The sequence below is a fragment of the Homo sapiens genome, chromosome 4 (genome assembly GCF_000001405.40).
Source record: "Homo sapiens chromosome 4, GRCh38.p14 Primary Assembly".
Taxonomy (NCBI): Eukaryota; Metazoa; Chordata; class Mammalia; order Primates; family Hominidae; genus Homo; species Homo sapiens.
Window position 1 is genome coordinate 177,322,973 of NC_000004.12, and position 14,308 is coordinate 177,337,280.

Genomic DNA, 14,308 nt, shown 5'->3' on the forward strand with positions numbered 1-14,308 from the left:
TTCTGGCTTCCTGCTTTCTCTGAAGCCTTGAATGGAATTTGGAAATTTACTTAGAGAGTGTAAAAACTTTCCAGAGAAATAACAGGTTCTCCATTGTTTCACAGTTCCCATGGAAATTCATGGCTAATATACTGGCAGAGAAGGACTAGCAACCTATTTCCTTTGTTGACTTAATGATAAAAAAGTCAAAATATATGTAATTGTGATGCATGATCACATGTTTAATTTTTGCAGGAAAATGAAAGCGGCCTTTGAGTTAATATGTCTACCCAATCTCATTCTGTCTTTTCTGAGTTTAGCCTAAGCTTTTGCCAACTGTAAAAATTGATACTGCTTCCTCAAATCGTTTTTAGTGCTGTTTAAAGATACTGACCACAGTTATCACCTTTTTCTTAAAAGAAAAGACCTGTTCCTGGACCCCATGCTAACCAAAGGTGAATAATTGTCACAAAGAGATGATACTATATGATTGTTCTTTATTGCATCTCATCTACCACATATTTAGAGTAATCCAGGGTTTATGTAATTGCTTTTCCTTTGAGGTGTTCTCTTTTCATTGTCAGCAGCTGCTGTCCTTGGACAACATTGTCACTTCATGGTTTTGCTTAGTCTGGAATTGATAACATCAGCATATGCCTAGTTGTTCATGCAGTAATGATATATTGCAGGTTACACTGCTGCTGTAGTAGACTGATGTGATGGAAAACTCATAGCTCTGGATAGAGTAGTACACAATGGGATCTATGCACGATAGTTGAAAACATTGATATGTTATTGATTCTCTGGTGTTAGGTACAGATTTATTTCTGTAAGATGAGAGGGGGTTTTTATCAAGTGCTCTCCACCAGACTGATAAGGGGGAAGTCATTTCTCAGCACACGGCTGTCAGTAAGTGTTCCATGAAGTTCTAAACAAGGACAATCACTTCTTCAAACTCATTGAACTAGTGCCCTCCCTGGAGAGTACCTATGTCAGTATATGGGTGGGAAAAATGCAGTGGCTTGCTTCCTTTCAGTTTCCTGCAGCCATAACAACTATTGGATGTAACAATTCAAGGTCAATGGCAGATCTGCTGTTGGAATCTGAACCTAAAATCATTTGCCCCTCTTTTCACAATGTAACAGAAGTTCAAAAAATGTACTTCCAACCTGTGCTTCTTAGAGGAATGGATAACTCTCTCAAAGAAATGTGATCTTTTTGTGAGGCTGCAGGTCTGTGCACCTGCAATAGAAATGTAGTCTTCATTTTTGACTTCTGCCTCCCACCCACCTGGCTCATCTGCATTTGATAGAGCATATAGCAGGAAACACTTTCAAAGGTTGCTCACAGTTTTCCCTTGATACCCAACTTTTCACAAGCAAAATTGCCCGCAGAGTTTAGTCATAAAGTGTGTGCATCTCATAGGTTGGGCCATGAATCTCCTGGGATTCATTGGTTGAATCTCCTGGGATTCATTTGTTAATGAAAGTAGAATACGAGCATAGCCTCTAAAAGAATCTGCCCTGTAAAAATCCACACATCAGAAAGATACAAATTAGAGAGTGATTACTTCTCTACCTACTAAGTGATATATTCAAGTGCTCCTGATAGTGCCAAGGAATACTAAAAATTATTTGATACACATTTATTTTAGGAGCACTATTGTGTTATGTGTGATTAATACCTGTACAACTTCTGAACACTTTCCACTAACTCTTCAACTAAAACAACACAAACGTCACTTGAAGTTTTTGCTACAAATGTAACAAGTACTCAGTAGAGAAAACTGAAAAATAATGAAAATAAGTGTAAAGTAATACATTCTCAATCCCACTACCAGGTGTAATCTTTATTAACTTTGGATGCATACAATGCCACATTGCCAGTATAGTGTGTGCGAATGTTTATATGCATGTTCACCCAGCTGCACTCACACTGAAGCTATCATTTTAATCAAAATGGACATAGCTGTTGCATTTTGGACTAAAATTTAAAAAACAGATAGATAGATAGATAGATAGATAGATAGATAGATAAGTAAATATATTTTTCCAAGACCATTTTCTGTTTCCAGTTTGTGATTTACATGACTCTGGCTTTTGAAGTTATATGTGCTCAGAGACCAGAAACTATATCTGAGATATTTTGGAGGCTTTGCCATTTTAGAAATGCCTTATACATGATTGATTTTATAATTTATTGGGGTTTAAGTATGAACCTCAAACCAGTTATGCAAGAGATAATATAATGATTCTTTTTAGTTTGCTGAAATGTCTTTATTGAATCCATCATATATTACTTATAAAAGAGTTTTACAGCTTCAACATAGTTTCTGTACTATCATATAACATGTTAGGAGAAATAGAAGTGTACTTTTACTCTGTATAATACTTTAAGATTCATTCATACTGTTTGAAGTATCAGTGGTACTTTCTTTTCTTTTACTAAGTAGTCTCCCATTGTATGAACATACCATATTTTGTTAATTCATTCATCAGATGATGGACATTTGGATTGTTTCAAGTTTTTAATATTGTGAATAAAATTGCTATGAATATTCACATACATATGACATATATATGTGGACATACATTTTCATTTCTCTTGGATAAATTACCAAATGACTTAGAAATTCTAAGTCATTTGGTAAGCATATGTTTGACTTTAAGAGGAATTGCCAAACTGTTCTTAAAAGTGGTGGTACCATTTTACATTCTCACCAGCAGAGTATGAGAATTTCAGTTACTCAGCATCTTTGCCAGCACCTGGTATTGTCAGTTGTGTTAATTTCAGCTATTCTAATAGGTGTACAGTGTATCTCACTATGATTTTAATTTTCTTCTCCCTACTAACTAATGATATCTGATGCAATATGCATATTTCCTGTTTGTGTATTTTATAGGGTGATGTGTCTATTAATGTTTTCCTTTTTTATTGGATATATTTTTGTATTATTGAGTTATAGTATTCTGTATATATTCTAGATGTCAGTCATTTATCAGATAACATGTTTTGCAAGTATTTTCTCCCAATCTATGGCTTTTCTCTTCATTTTCTTAACCATATCTCTTCAAGATTAAAAACTTTTAAGTTTGATGAAACCTAATTTATCAAATTTTTTTTTCATGGTTCATTCATACGTTTTGTGACCAGTCTAAGAAACATCTGCCTAATGCAAATTAATCAACATTTCCTTGTTTGTTTTCTTCTGGAAGTTTTATTGAGTTAGCTCTTCTGTTTAGGATTATGATCTATTTTGAGTTCTTTTTTGTATATGGTACAAGGCAGGAGCTGGACTTTGTCTTTTTGCGTGTGTATTTTCCAGCACCATTGTTGACGAGATTATCCTTTCTCCATTGAATTTCTTTGCAACTTTGTTGAAAATTAGTTGACCATATATGTATGGGTCTATTTCTGAACTCTGCATTCAGAAGAATATCAGATAAAGTGATATTCTTTTATCATTTTTTGTGTCTGTCCTTTCACCAATAATACACTGTCTTAATTAAAGTAGCTTTAAAGTCAGTTTAAATTAAGTAGTGTCAGTCGTCTGACTTTATTCTTTTTTTTTTTCAAAATTGTTTTTGTTGTTTTAGTTATCTTTCTACATTTTAGACTTAGCTTGTTGATTTCTACAGAGTTCTTTCTGGCATTTTGATTGGCCTTGTGTTGGATCTATAGATCAATTAGGTGATAATTCACATGCTAACATTATTGTCTTCCACTCCATGAACACAGTATATATTAATATGTATTTAGATCTTCCTTCATTTCTTTATCAGTATTTTGTAATTTTCAGCTTCAGACATATTTTATATTTGTAACTAAGTGGGTTTTTTTGGAGCTATTGTAAAGGGTACTTTTTTAAAATTTGAATTTCTAATTGTTCATTTGCAGTGTATGGAAATACAATTTTTGTGTGTATATTGACCTTGTATCCTGCAACCTTGCTGATATGATCTGGCTCTGTGTTCCCACCCAGATTTCATCTTGAATTGTAATTCCCATGTGTCGAGGTGTGGGGGGGCATGTAATCCCCTTGTGTCAAGGGAAAGAGGCGACTGGATCATGGGGGCTGTTTCCCCCATGCTGTTCTTGTGATAGTGAGTGAGTTCTCACTAGATCTCTTGGTTTTATAAGGGGCTCTTCCCCCTTCTCTTTCTCTTCTCTCTCCTGCTGCCATCTGAAGAAGGTCCTTGCTTCCTTTTCACCTTCCACCATGATTGTAAGTTTCCTGAGACCTCCCAAACCATGTGGAACTGCGAGTCAATTAAGCCTCTTTCCTTTATAAATTATCCAGTCTCAGGGAAGTTCTTTACAGCAGTGTAAAAACAGACTAATACACTTGCTAAACTCGTTATAGTTCTAGTCGCTTTTTCTTGTATACTTTTAGTATTTTCTATGTAGATAATCATATCATCTGTGAATTAAAGCAGTTTTATTTTTTCCTTTCTGATCTATATGACTTTTTTAAAAAAAATTTACTTCAAGTTCTAGGATACATGTGCAGAACATGCAGGTTTGTTACATAGGTGTACATGTGCCATGGTGGTTTGCTGCACCTATCAACCTGTCATCTAGGTTTTAAGCCTCGCATGCATTAAGTGTTTGTCCTAATGCTCTCCCTCTCCTTGTCCCCCACACCCTATATGCCTTTTATTTCTTTTTCTTGTTTTATTGCACTGGCCAGGACCCCCAGCATGATGTTGAGTAGTAGTGGTGAGAGCAAATAAGTTTGCCTTGTTGTCTGTGATATTAGCTTTATTTTCTTTTATTAAATCAAAAAATTTCCCTTTTATTTCTAATTTGTTGAATTTTTCAAGTATTTTTTCTGCATCTATTGAGATCATCATATTGCCTTTCTTACTTCATTTGTTTATGTGTGGAATTCTATATTGATTGATTTTTAAATTTTGAATGAGCCTTGCATTCCTGGAATATACTCCACTTTGTCATGATGGATTGTCCTTTCTATATGTTTCTGGATTCGATTAGTTAATATTTTATTGAGGACTTTTGCTTGTGTCTTCATAAGAGATATTGCACTATGGTGTTATTTTTCTGTTACTGCCTTTGTCTAATTTTGGTATTAGGGTAATGATGGCCTCCAACTGAGTTTCATCTGATATTCCAGAAACATTTGTGTAGATTTGTTATTGGTATAACATCAACTGGTCTGATGTATTTGGAGTTCCAGAAAGGAAAGAGAAAAAAACAAAACAGAAGACATTTTTAAAAGAAGTAATGGCCAAGAATTGTGCAGGATTAACAAAGCTATGGAACAAGGTGACATAATCTAACATTCTTGTAACTGTCATCCTAGAAGAAAGAAAGAACAGAACAGAAGACATCTTTGGATTTAAATGGCCAAGAATTTTCTTAACAAACCACAGATCCAAGAAGCTAAAAGAGCCTCAAACCAAACCAAATGTCCCTCACACGTACCTAGCCAATGTGCTAAAAACCAAAGATGAAGAGAAAGTGCTGGAAGCAGAGAAAAAGAAACATTGCATATTAATACAAAGGAACAAAGCTAAGAAATACATTTACAGAAATTATGTAAGACAGAAGACAACAGAGCAACGTTTGCTGAAAGAAAAACCTCTCAACTCAGAATTCTAAACCCATCTAATATATCTATTAAAAATGAAGGTATAATAAAGACTTTTTCGAAAAAAAGAAGCTAAGAGAATGTAGTAGCAGGAGACCTGCAGTGCAAGAAAAGTTAAAGTCTGTCCAGCATAAGGGATATAATAACAGACAGAAATCTGAACTACAGAAAGAAAAAACTGGGAATGGGAAACTTGGAAGTAAATATAAAAGATGTTTTTCTGTTATGTTCTATATCTAAAGCAAGCATAATAACAATTTATTGTGGACTTTATAACATATGTCAGAGTAAAATGCATTGCAACAATAGTACAAATGAGATAGGAAAATGATGGTACACTAATGTTGTTGCAATATACGTTTTGCATATCATTTGAAGATATGCATATCATTTGAAGATATCACTGAGATAACTTGTATCTCAGTAATATACGTTTTGCATATCATTTGAAGATTTGCATATCGTTTGAATATATCACTGAGATAACTTGTATCACAGTGTAAGATGTGTATTATAAAACCTAGAGCAACTACTTAAAAAAATTCAAAAAGTGGTAAAAGTAATAAGCTGCTATGGAGATAAAATAGAAGTTTTAAAAATGCTCAATCCAAAAGAATGCATTAAAAGATGAACAAAGAACAGATGGAACAAATAGAAAACAATAGTAATACAGTATATTTAAATCAAAGCATAAAAATAATCACATTAAATATAAATAATCTAACCATCCCAATTATTTGGCAGAAATTAATTGAATAAAAACACAAGACCCAACTATAATGTGCCTATAAGAAAACCACTTAAAATATAATGATGCAGGTTAAAATAAAAGGATGGAAACAGAAATACTATGGAAACACTTATCAAAAGAAAGCTGGAGTAGCTAGAATAAAATCAAAGTAGATTTCAGATCAAGGAATATTACTGAGGGTAAAGAAGGACATTAAAAAAAGATTAAGGGGTTAATTCATCAAGAAAATGTAGTAATCCTAATAGAAATTCAAAAGATGTAAAGCAAGAACTGCTAGAATGGAAAGGGCAAAGAGAAACTAATATTGTTGAATAATTCAACACTCTCTTGTCAGTAACTGATAGAACAAGTGGGCAAAAATCAGCAAGGATAAAAGACCTGAGCAACACTATCAACCACCTTGACCTAATTGACAAGTAGAGAACATTCCACCCAACAACACATGCTTTTCAAGTGCATGTGGAACACTTAGCAAGATTGACCAGATTATGGACAGCAAAATGAGTCTTAACAAATTTAAAAGTATTGATATCATGGAAGAATCCTCTCTGACTACAACAGAATTAAACTAGAAATTATTGAGATACCTAGAAAAATCTTTTTTTTTTTTCTTTTTCAAATGGAGTCTTGCTCTGTCACCCAGACTGGAGTACAGTGGAGGGATCTCTGCTCATTGCAGCCTCTACCTCCCGGGTTCAAGTGATTCTCCTGCCTCAGCTTCTTGAGTAGCTGGGATTACAGACGCCTGCTACCATGCCTGGCTAATTTTTATATTTTTAGTGGAGACGGCGTTTCACCACGTTGCCCAGGCTGGTCTCAAACTCCTGACCTCAGGTCATCTACCCGCCTTGGCCTCCCAAAGTGCTGGGATTACAGGCGTGAGCCACTGCGCCCAGCTGAAAAATTTAAAGTATTTGGAAATCAATGTGCTTCTAAACTCACCTGTCAAATAAATCACAAAGGAACTTAGAACATATTTTGAACTGAATGAAAATGAAAACGCCAGATCAAAATTTGTAGGAGACAGCTAAAGCAATGCTTGAGGAAATGTTCTGGCATTAAATGTTTTTTATAAATGAATAAAATTCTCTAAGATTTAAGCTTCCATATAAAAAACTAGAAGAATAAGAGCTAATTAAACCCAAAACAGACAGAAGGACGGAAATAATGAAGATAAGAACAGAAATCAATGGAATTTAAAAATGAAAGCAATAGAGAAAAAAAATCAATGAAGCAAATAATTGGTCCTTTGAAAAGCATAATAAAAATGAATGACACCAAAAATTGGTTCTTTGAAAAATGTAATAAAAATGATAAACTTTTAGCTCAATGCAGTCCAATATAAACATGGGAGACATATATATAATTTAAAATCTTCCAATAGCTGCATTAACCAAAGCAAAAAGAAATCAATTTTAATAATGTATTTTATTAACCTATACAAAATATTTCAACATATAAACAATATAAGCAATTATTGATAAGCTATGTAACTTTTTTTATACTAAGTCTTCAAAATCTACTGTGTATTTTATAATTAGAGTACACATTAATTTGAACTAATAACATTTCCAGTGCTCACTTGCCACATGTGGGTAGTGGCTGCCATATTGGACAATACAGCTCACATATAAACACTATGAGGAATGACAAAGGGAACATTACTGCAGATCCTCAAGTTGTTATTTGAATAGAAATAGGACACTATATATTACCTAACAAATTTATGTCGATGAATTCAACAACTAAAATAAATGGACAGATTCCTTGAAAGACACAAATTATCAAAACATACTCTAGAACTAAAGTAAAAATATGAGTTATTTTCTATGTTTTAAATAAGTTGAGTTGATAGTTTAAAACTTCTCAAGAAAGAAAACCCCAGGCATATTTAAGGAACATGCTCTGTTTTATCTTTTTCATCCTTTTTTCTCTTTCTTAGGTTTGGATAATTTCTATTAATCTATATTCAGGTTCACTTATTCTTTCCTCTGCTCTGTGCGGTCTGCTGGTCTGCTCATTGAAGAAATGTCTTCTCCCTGCTATCATGTATTTTGGTTTCTCTGCTGAAATATCACACCTGTTCATGTGCCTTTATACTAGATCCTTACATATGTTAAATCATTAACATATTAATAACTAATATATAATATAAAATTTGATTAAGAATCAATATTTTAAGTTTAAAATTAATTTAACATTACTTTTAAATCACCTGTCTCATAGATATGACATCTGGTGCATCTTTGGGTCTGGCTCTGTTGACTGCTTTATCTCTTGATATATTTATCTCTTGATACTTTTTTAATCTTTGTGTGTATATATGTGTCTTATCATTTTTTTGAATCCTAGACATTGTCTATAGAAGACAAAAAGCTAAATCCCAGACACCATGTATAGACATATAAGAGCTAAATAATATTTAAGCTCAGAAACAGTCATGCCTCTTCTGTCAGTCATTAGTGTCAGGGATTGAGTGAGTCTAGTAAAGTAGTTGACCTTCGTTTGAGTTTTGCTTTGTTTGGGTTGGCTTCAGTGCACCAACAACTTCAAAACTCCAGCTGCTACTGCTACTTTATGCCTTGTGTGTGGTCTGGTTTGGCAGTGGATGGTTTCTCTGTGTTGCTGCTCGACTCTCAGCTTTCAGCACATCTTGCATATTCATGTCACAGAGAAAGTCTCTCCATGTTCTTACCTCTCCACCATGTAGACTGCTGTCGCTTGTGACTCAGTGGGAGGCTTATGATGGGGATAGTGGGGATATTTACTTCTGGATTAGCCTGGAACTTGGGCAGGCCTTTGTGTATGTAGAACCCAAGGTCGCAGTTTTCTTAGGGTTGCTGTCCCTTGCCCTCCTATGGCAGCCAAACTCTGCCTTGCACCTGTGGGTGTACTTGGGTCAGAGAGCTTCCTACCTCTTTTCTGGTGGAAGCAGATTTCTCTTTGTATCATCACAGTATTTTGTGCCAAAGCCGATTTTCTGTTTCAACTCTAGGGACAGATGGCTTTTGCTTCTACCTCACCTTCAACAGGCCAGGGTACCTTTGCTTGGGCTGGGTGGCCGAAGGGTTTCCGCTGCTGTCCTGTGGCAGACTGCTTATGGTTGTTATTCAGTATAAGACATATTGTTTGGGCAGAGGAAGTTTCCTGTTCCTCCCTCAAGGACAGATATGACCTTTGTTTCTACCTCTCCCTTGGCCCCAGCAGCTTAAAGACTTTTTAAGACTTGGACTTCATCTCAAAGAAGTGTTCAAGAAGCAGACAGAGTTTCATGAAGACAGGTGTCATGCCACCAAGAGCAGCTCTTTCAGGTCTCTTGCTGTCACTCACATCTTTCACATGGGCCCACGAGTGTGTATTCTCCTTGTGTCTGGGGCTCCGGGGATTCTAAACTGTTACACCAGCCCACATTCAGTATGTAAAAGTTTGTTGAAAATTTTGCAGTTTTCTGCTTTCCCATTTTTATAGTAGCCTTCTCTTCCTCTTGTGCTCTGCCACAGGTGAAACAATTTGTGTATTCTGACTTTACTTTCCATGGCGGGGCTTGTCACATTTTGGAATTTAGCTTACCTGGTTGCGTTGCAATCTCATGTCTCTGATGGGCTTAAGAAAATGTATGATTTTGTAGATAACGTGATTTTTTTTCTCCTTGTTGGAGCGGTAGCTATGTTCACTTTCAGCCTTCTGCATCCTAAGTAGTAGCAGAACTCCTATTTTTTATTTTTAGCATTGTTAAAACCATATCTTTTTACATTCTTTTTTTTTTAATTCCCAGCATAGGTTTTACAACTATTATATTCTACATTTTCCACTCTTTATTACCCTTAGGACACTTCTGACCACTTGAAAATTTTTATAGGCAGTTGCCTTATTTGCAAAATGTAGTTGTCATTAATGTGAAACTGTGACAGTACTGCTTTGTTTATGCTATTTGTGCTTGCTTAAGGATGTTCAGATTATTCTGACAGTGATAGCTTGGAGAATACGGCTGATTCTTAAAACAGGATCAGGGCTTATTTACTAGTTTCTTTAGGAAGATATTTCTAATGAGAGGAATTTTCTTACTGTTAATTGAATTTTTAGTTTGGGCACATTTTCATATTAGAACTTGGTTGCAAGTGACAGAGGCCCAACTCAAGCAGGTTCAATAATTATTTATTATCTTTTGTTGACTTTGGCACCAAAAACTTCTTTAAAATTTAAAAAAGTGTATGAAGTATCTTACAAAACCTGAAGAGAATACAGGCAGGCTTCAAGGAGAACTAAAGCAAGCAAAGACTAAAAGCTGTTAGGATTCCTCTTCATTTCTTCACTCTGCTCCTCACTGAAATCTTCTATAGTCTTCCTCTTTGCAGGGAGACCTTCCTTTGCTTTGCTGGTGCTCACATCGGGAATCATTCCCATAGACAGCTCTCATATGAGATCTCTTAATGCTAGCAGGATCTCCTTGGGTCCTACGTCTTTAAATTCATCAGAAAAATTGACGAACCCAGCTTGGATACTGATGGATCTAGCTTGGGACAGGTGTCCATTTCTGAATCAACTGTATCAAAGGCACAGGATCTGAGAAAACGACAGAGACCTGTTCAGGTTAAGCCTGAACAGGTTAATGCCCACCCTTGGACCAGGCAACTGTGGTTGGCAGGTAGACTTCTATTATGCAGAGTGAATTGTCTTGGGTAACCTTTTGGGTTGGTAGAAGGAGCTTGAGATAGAAATAAGGATCTGATAAAAGTTTCCTAAACTAATTAATTATGAGGAATCCTGAAAAGCAAATGAAACCCTAAAAATGTCTTTTCTTTATGTAATATGGGCCTATGTCCTGGTTTAAAAAAAAAAAAAATCAGTATCAATTGTTGTCGCAGTATAGATGTTTACTGTGCCTCAAATATTTTCATGATACTGATACATTTTTTATAGTTTAAGATCAAAGGTACTTAGTAATAAACCCACGAGATGTGTTGGTTTATTGGGGCTCAATTATAATATCTATTTAATAAAACAAAATAAATAAAAATTTAAAAAAACATTTTATGCACTTTTTTCCTAAAAATGAATTGATTTATAAGTCAGAGCCATACTTATTTGATCTAAGGTTCTTGCTGGGGCTACTCCTGCATTTGAATTGGGTCTTAACCTTTGAGATTTTTTATGTGGATGTGGTTTCATTATAGAAAGTGATTTAGAATCCACTTTATGAGCCATGCAGCTGAAAAGATTTTAGATATGATGGCTTCTGGGCATGACAGTTGTACACCTTTCACTGGGGTTGAACTTCCATAAGTTAAATTATGGAGTACTTACAGGCACACATTTTTCCTGTCAAGAACTATGGGGCATGTAAAATGCATTTATGATTGATAGTAGGGCACACAGAGTTTAAAACCCACATTTTTAAAGTTAGACTGGTTAACCTTGTACAATACTATAACATGGTGCTCCGCAATTAGAAGCACAGAGCAGTAGCATTCGCTGCCAAAAGAGCCATATTTATGAACTCAACAAAGCTATGAGGAGAAGGATTTGAAAGGCGGATCACAGTATTTCATCTTGAGAATCATTTTTGATCTTCATCATCAGAGGTCTTACAGAACTACTTTTTTTAAAAACTGGACATGCTAATCAATCCTATAAAATCTGAAAGGTTACGAATTTTTCATCGCTGCCTTGTGGCTTTCAAGTTAACCGTAAATATTTATAAATCTCCTCTTCCCAATACATATAGAGGTAAAAGAAAACGAAAAGAATTGAGGACAATAGCATTTTGACTTGTTCTCTCTTTTTTTTTGATACGTAAGATTTTGCAAAAATAAAAAAAATTGTTTCATTGCCTAGTGCAAAACAAGGGGGGAAAAGAGCATCTTAAACCATAGATATTATTTTGCAATAGGTAATTATTTCCAATCCATTGTGGTTAGAAATAAGGAATTTGAATATTAGTGGCTTTGTAGAATTTATGAAAACACAAACTATAGGCAACTTAAACTTAGCCTTATCTCATCCCAAGCCTTTGAATCTGAGAAAATGCCAAGAGATGCTAGACTGTTCCATGAATAAAAGATACTTCATCTGACAAGAAAAGAGGAGCAGGGGTGTATTTTTTTGGGCTTATTGTTGGTACCATATTATTTCTTTGAGAAGTTATTTTACTTTTGAGTTGAAAAACTGATTGTCATGTCTTCTATCTTTATAAGGATACAAAGTCATGAGAGAAAAATATATAATAATCTTACCACTGGTTTCTGCCCTTTAAAAGTGTCTATCCTGACTAACATTTGTTTGCTTATAATCCAAAAAAAAAATGATAGTACAGGAAAAAAGCTTGATAAATGATATACTTTCTGCCACTCAAAAATGGTTTGATTTTGTTTCAGGATTCATTTCGGAATGAAAGGCTTCATCATGATTAATCCACTTGAGTATAAATATAAAAATGGAGCTTCTCCTGTTTTGGAAGTGCAGCTCACCAAAGATTTGATTTGTTTCTTTGACTCATCAGTAGAACTCAGGTAAAAAAAATTAAATAAAAGTACTTACGCTGCAATACTGCAGAGCTTGGTTTGGGATGTCACACGTGTAACTAAAGAAACAAATAAATAAAGAGTTTGTAATTGATGAAACCTCATTTTAAAGAAGCCTTCAGATAATATAATTTGTAAGGTCTTTGTTGTTTGCATATGTAACTCTTATACCCTGATTAACATAAAGTGCTTATAGCAAAGCTCATTTTAAAAGACACTTTGTGAAATTATAACCAGACTTATGATTAATGTGTTTTATATTCCTTTCTATAGAAACTCAATGGAAAGCCAACAGAGAATAAGAATGATGAAAGAATTAGATGTATGTTCACCTGAATTTAGTTTCTTGAGAGCAGAAAGTGAAGTTAAAAAACAGAAAGGCCGGATGCTAGGTGATGTGCTAATGGATCAGAACGTATTGCCTGGAGTAGGGAACATCATCAAAAATGAAGCTCTCTTTGACAGTGGTCTCCACCCAGCTGTTAAAGTAAGTTTTAAGTATTTTTTTAATTATCTGTTGATTTTTCGGTACTGTGAAGGAACCAACGTGGAAGCCTTAACTCTGCATTTCAGTAACACAGTCTCATCAGACTTCAGGTGTCCCGCTTCCCATTTCTACCCAGGTCAATTTCTCAGTGCAGCCGGCTCCTACCACCGCACTTGCACTTACAGTTGCCTTGTGCACACCCTCCCACTCCACATTTCACTCTATCAGTCTTCCTTAACTTGCCCTGCTTTTTGTTCTCTCCATACCAGGTATCCCTTTCAAACATAACATATTTACTTATTATACTGATTGTTTAAAAGCTGTCTCCTTCTGCTAGAACACAGTCTCAAAAGGAAACAAGGCTTTTGTTCACTGAAGTATCCCAACATCTAGAACGTGACCTGTGGTGTATGGTAGGCATTAGATATTAATATTTGTGGAATATGTGAATGAACTAACTCACAACTTATTTTCTCTCTCTGGCATATTAAGTACATGTTCTGCACACGCTTGTGTATTCCTGATTACAGCTGTTGGTGACATTAGAAGCTGCTGTTGTGGAAGGATAGCAATGGAAGGCAGGCAGCAGGGACCAAGGAATAAGTGATCAGTGAGGAAATGAAAGCAAAATGTAGAGCCCTTGTTCACATAGGCCGGAGTGAAGGGAAAATATTGGCTTGCTAGAGGGGATTCCAGGGCAAGACATGAGTTGGTTATTTTATTTTTTTTCTTGTTCTACAACTGCAGAGACTTGAACTTATTTATATGTTGCAAAAAAAAAAAAGTGGTTAAAGGGCAGAGGTTAAAATTGTAGAAAAGGGAATGGTGATGAATATAGCAATGTTCTAAGAGGGTAAGAGAGGTGAGAACCCTAACCCAGGTAGAATACATACATTTTAGTTTCTAGGGAAGACCTCTACATTAGGGCTTTTATCAAGACCTGTTGCCACTAACTAAAT

The 14,308-nt window shown here is 35.1% G+C and overlaps 1 protein-coding gene across 2 annotated transcripts in view; it reads left to right on the forward strand.

Moving 5' to 3' along the window:
* Positions 1 to 14,308, forward strand: part of NEIL3 (nei like DNA glycosylase 3) — a 61,395-nt gene that overhangs the window by 13,099 nt on the left and 33,988 nt on the right. For both annotated transcript variants that reach the window (XM_047415894.1, NM_018248.3), the window contains exons 3-4: positions 12,716 to 12,850; positions 13,136 to 13,349. In XM_047415894.1, coding sequence (XP_047271850.1) covers positions 12,716 to 12,850; positions 13,136 to 13,349 — 349 coding nt within the window. The remainder of the gene's footprint in view (positions 1 to 12,715; positions 12,851 to 13,135; positions 13,350 to 14,308) is intronic.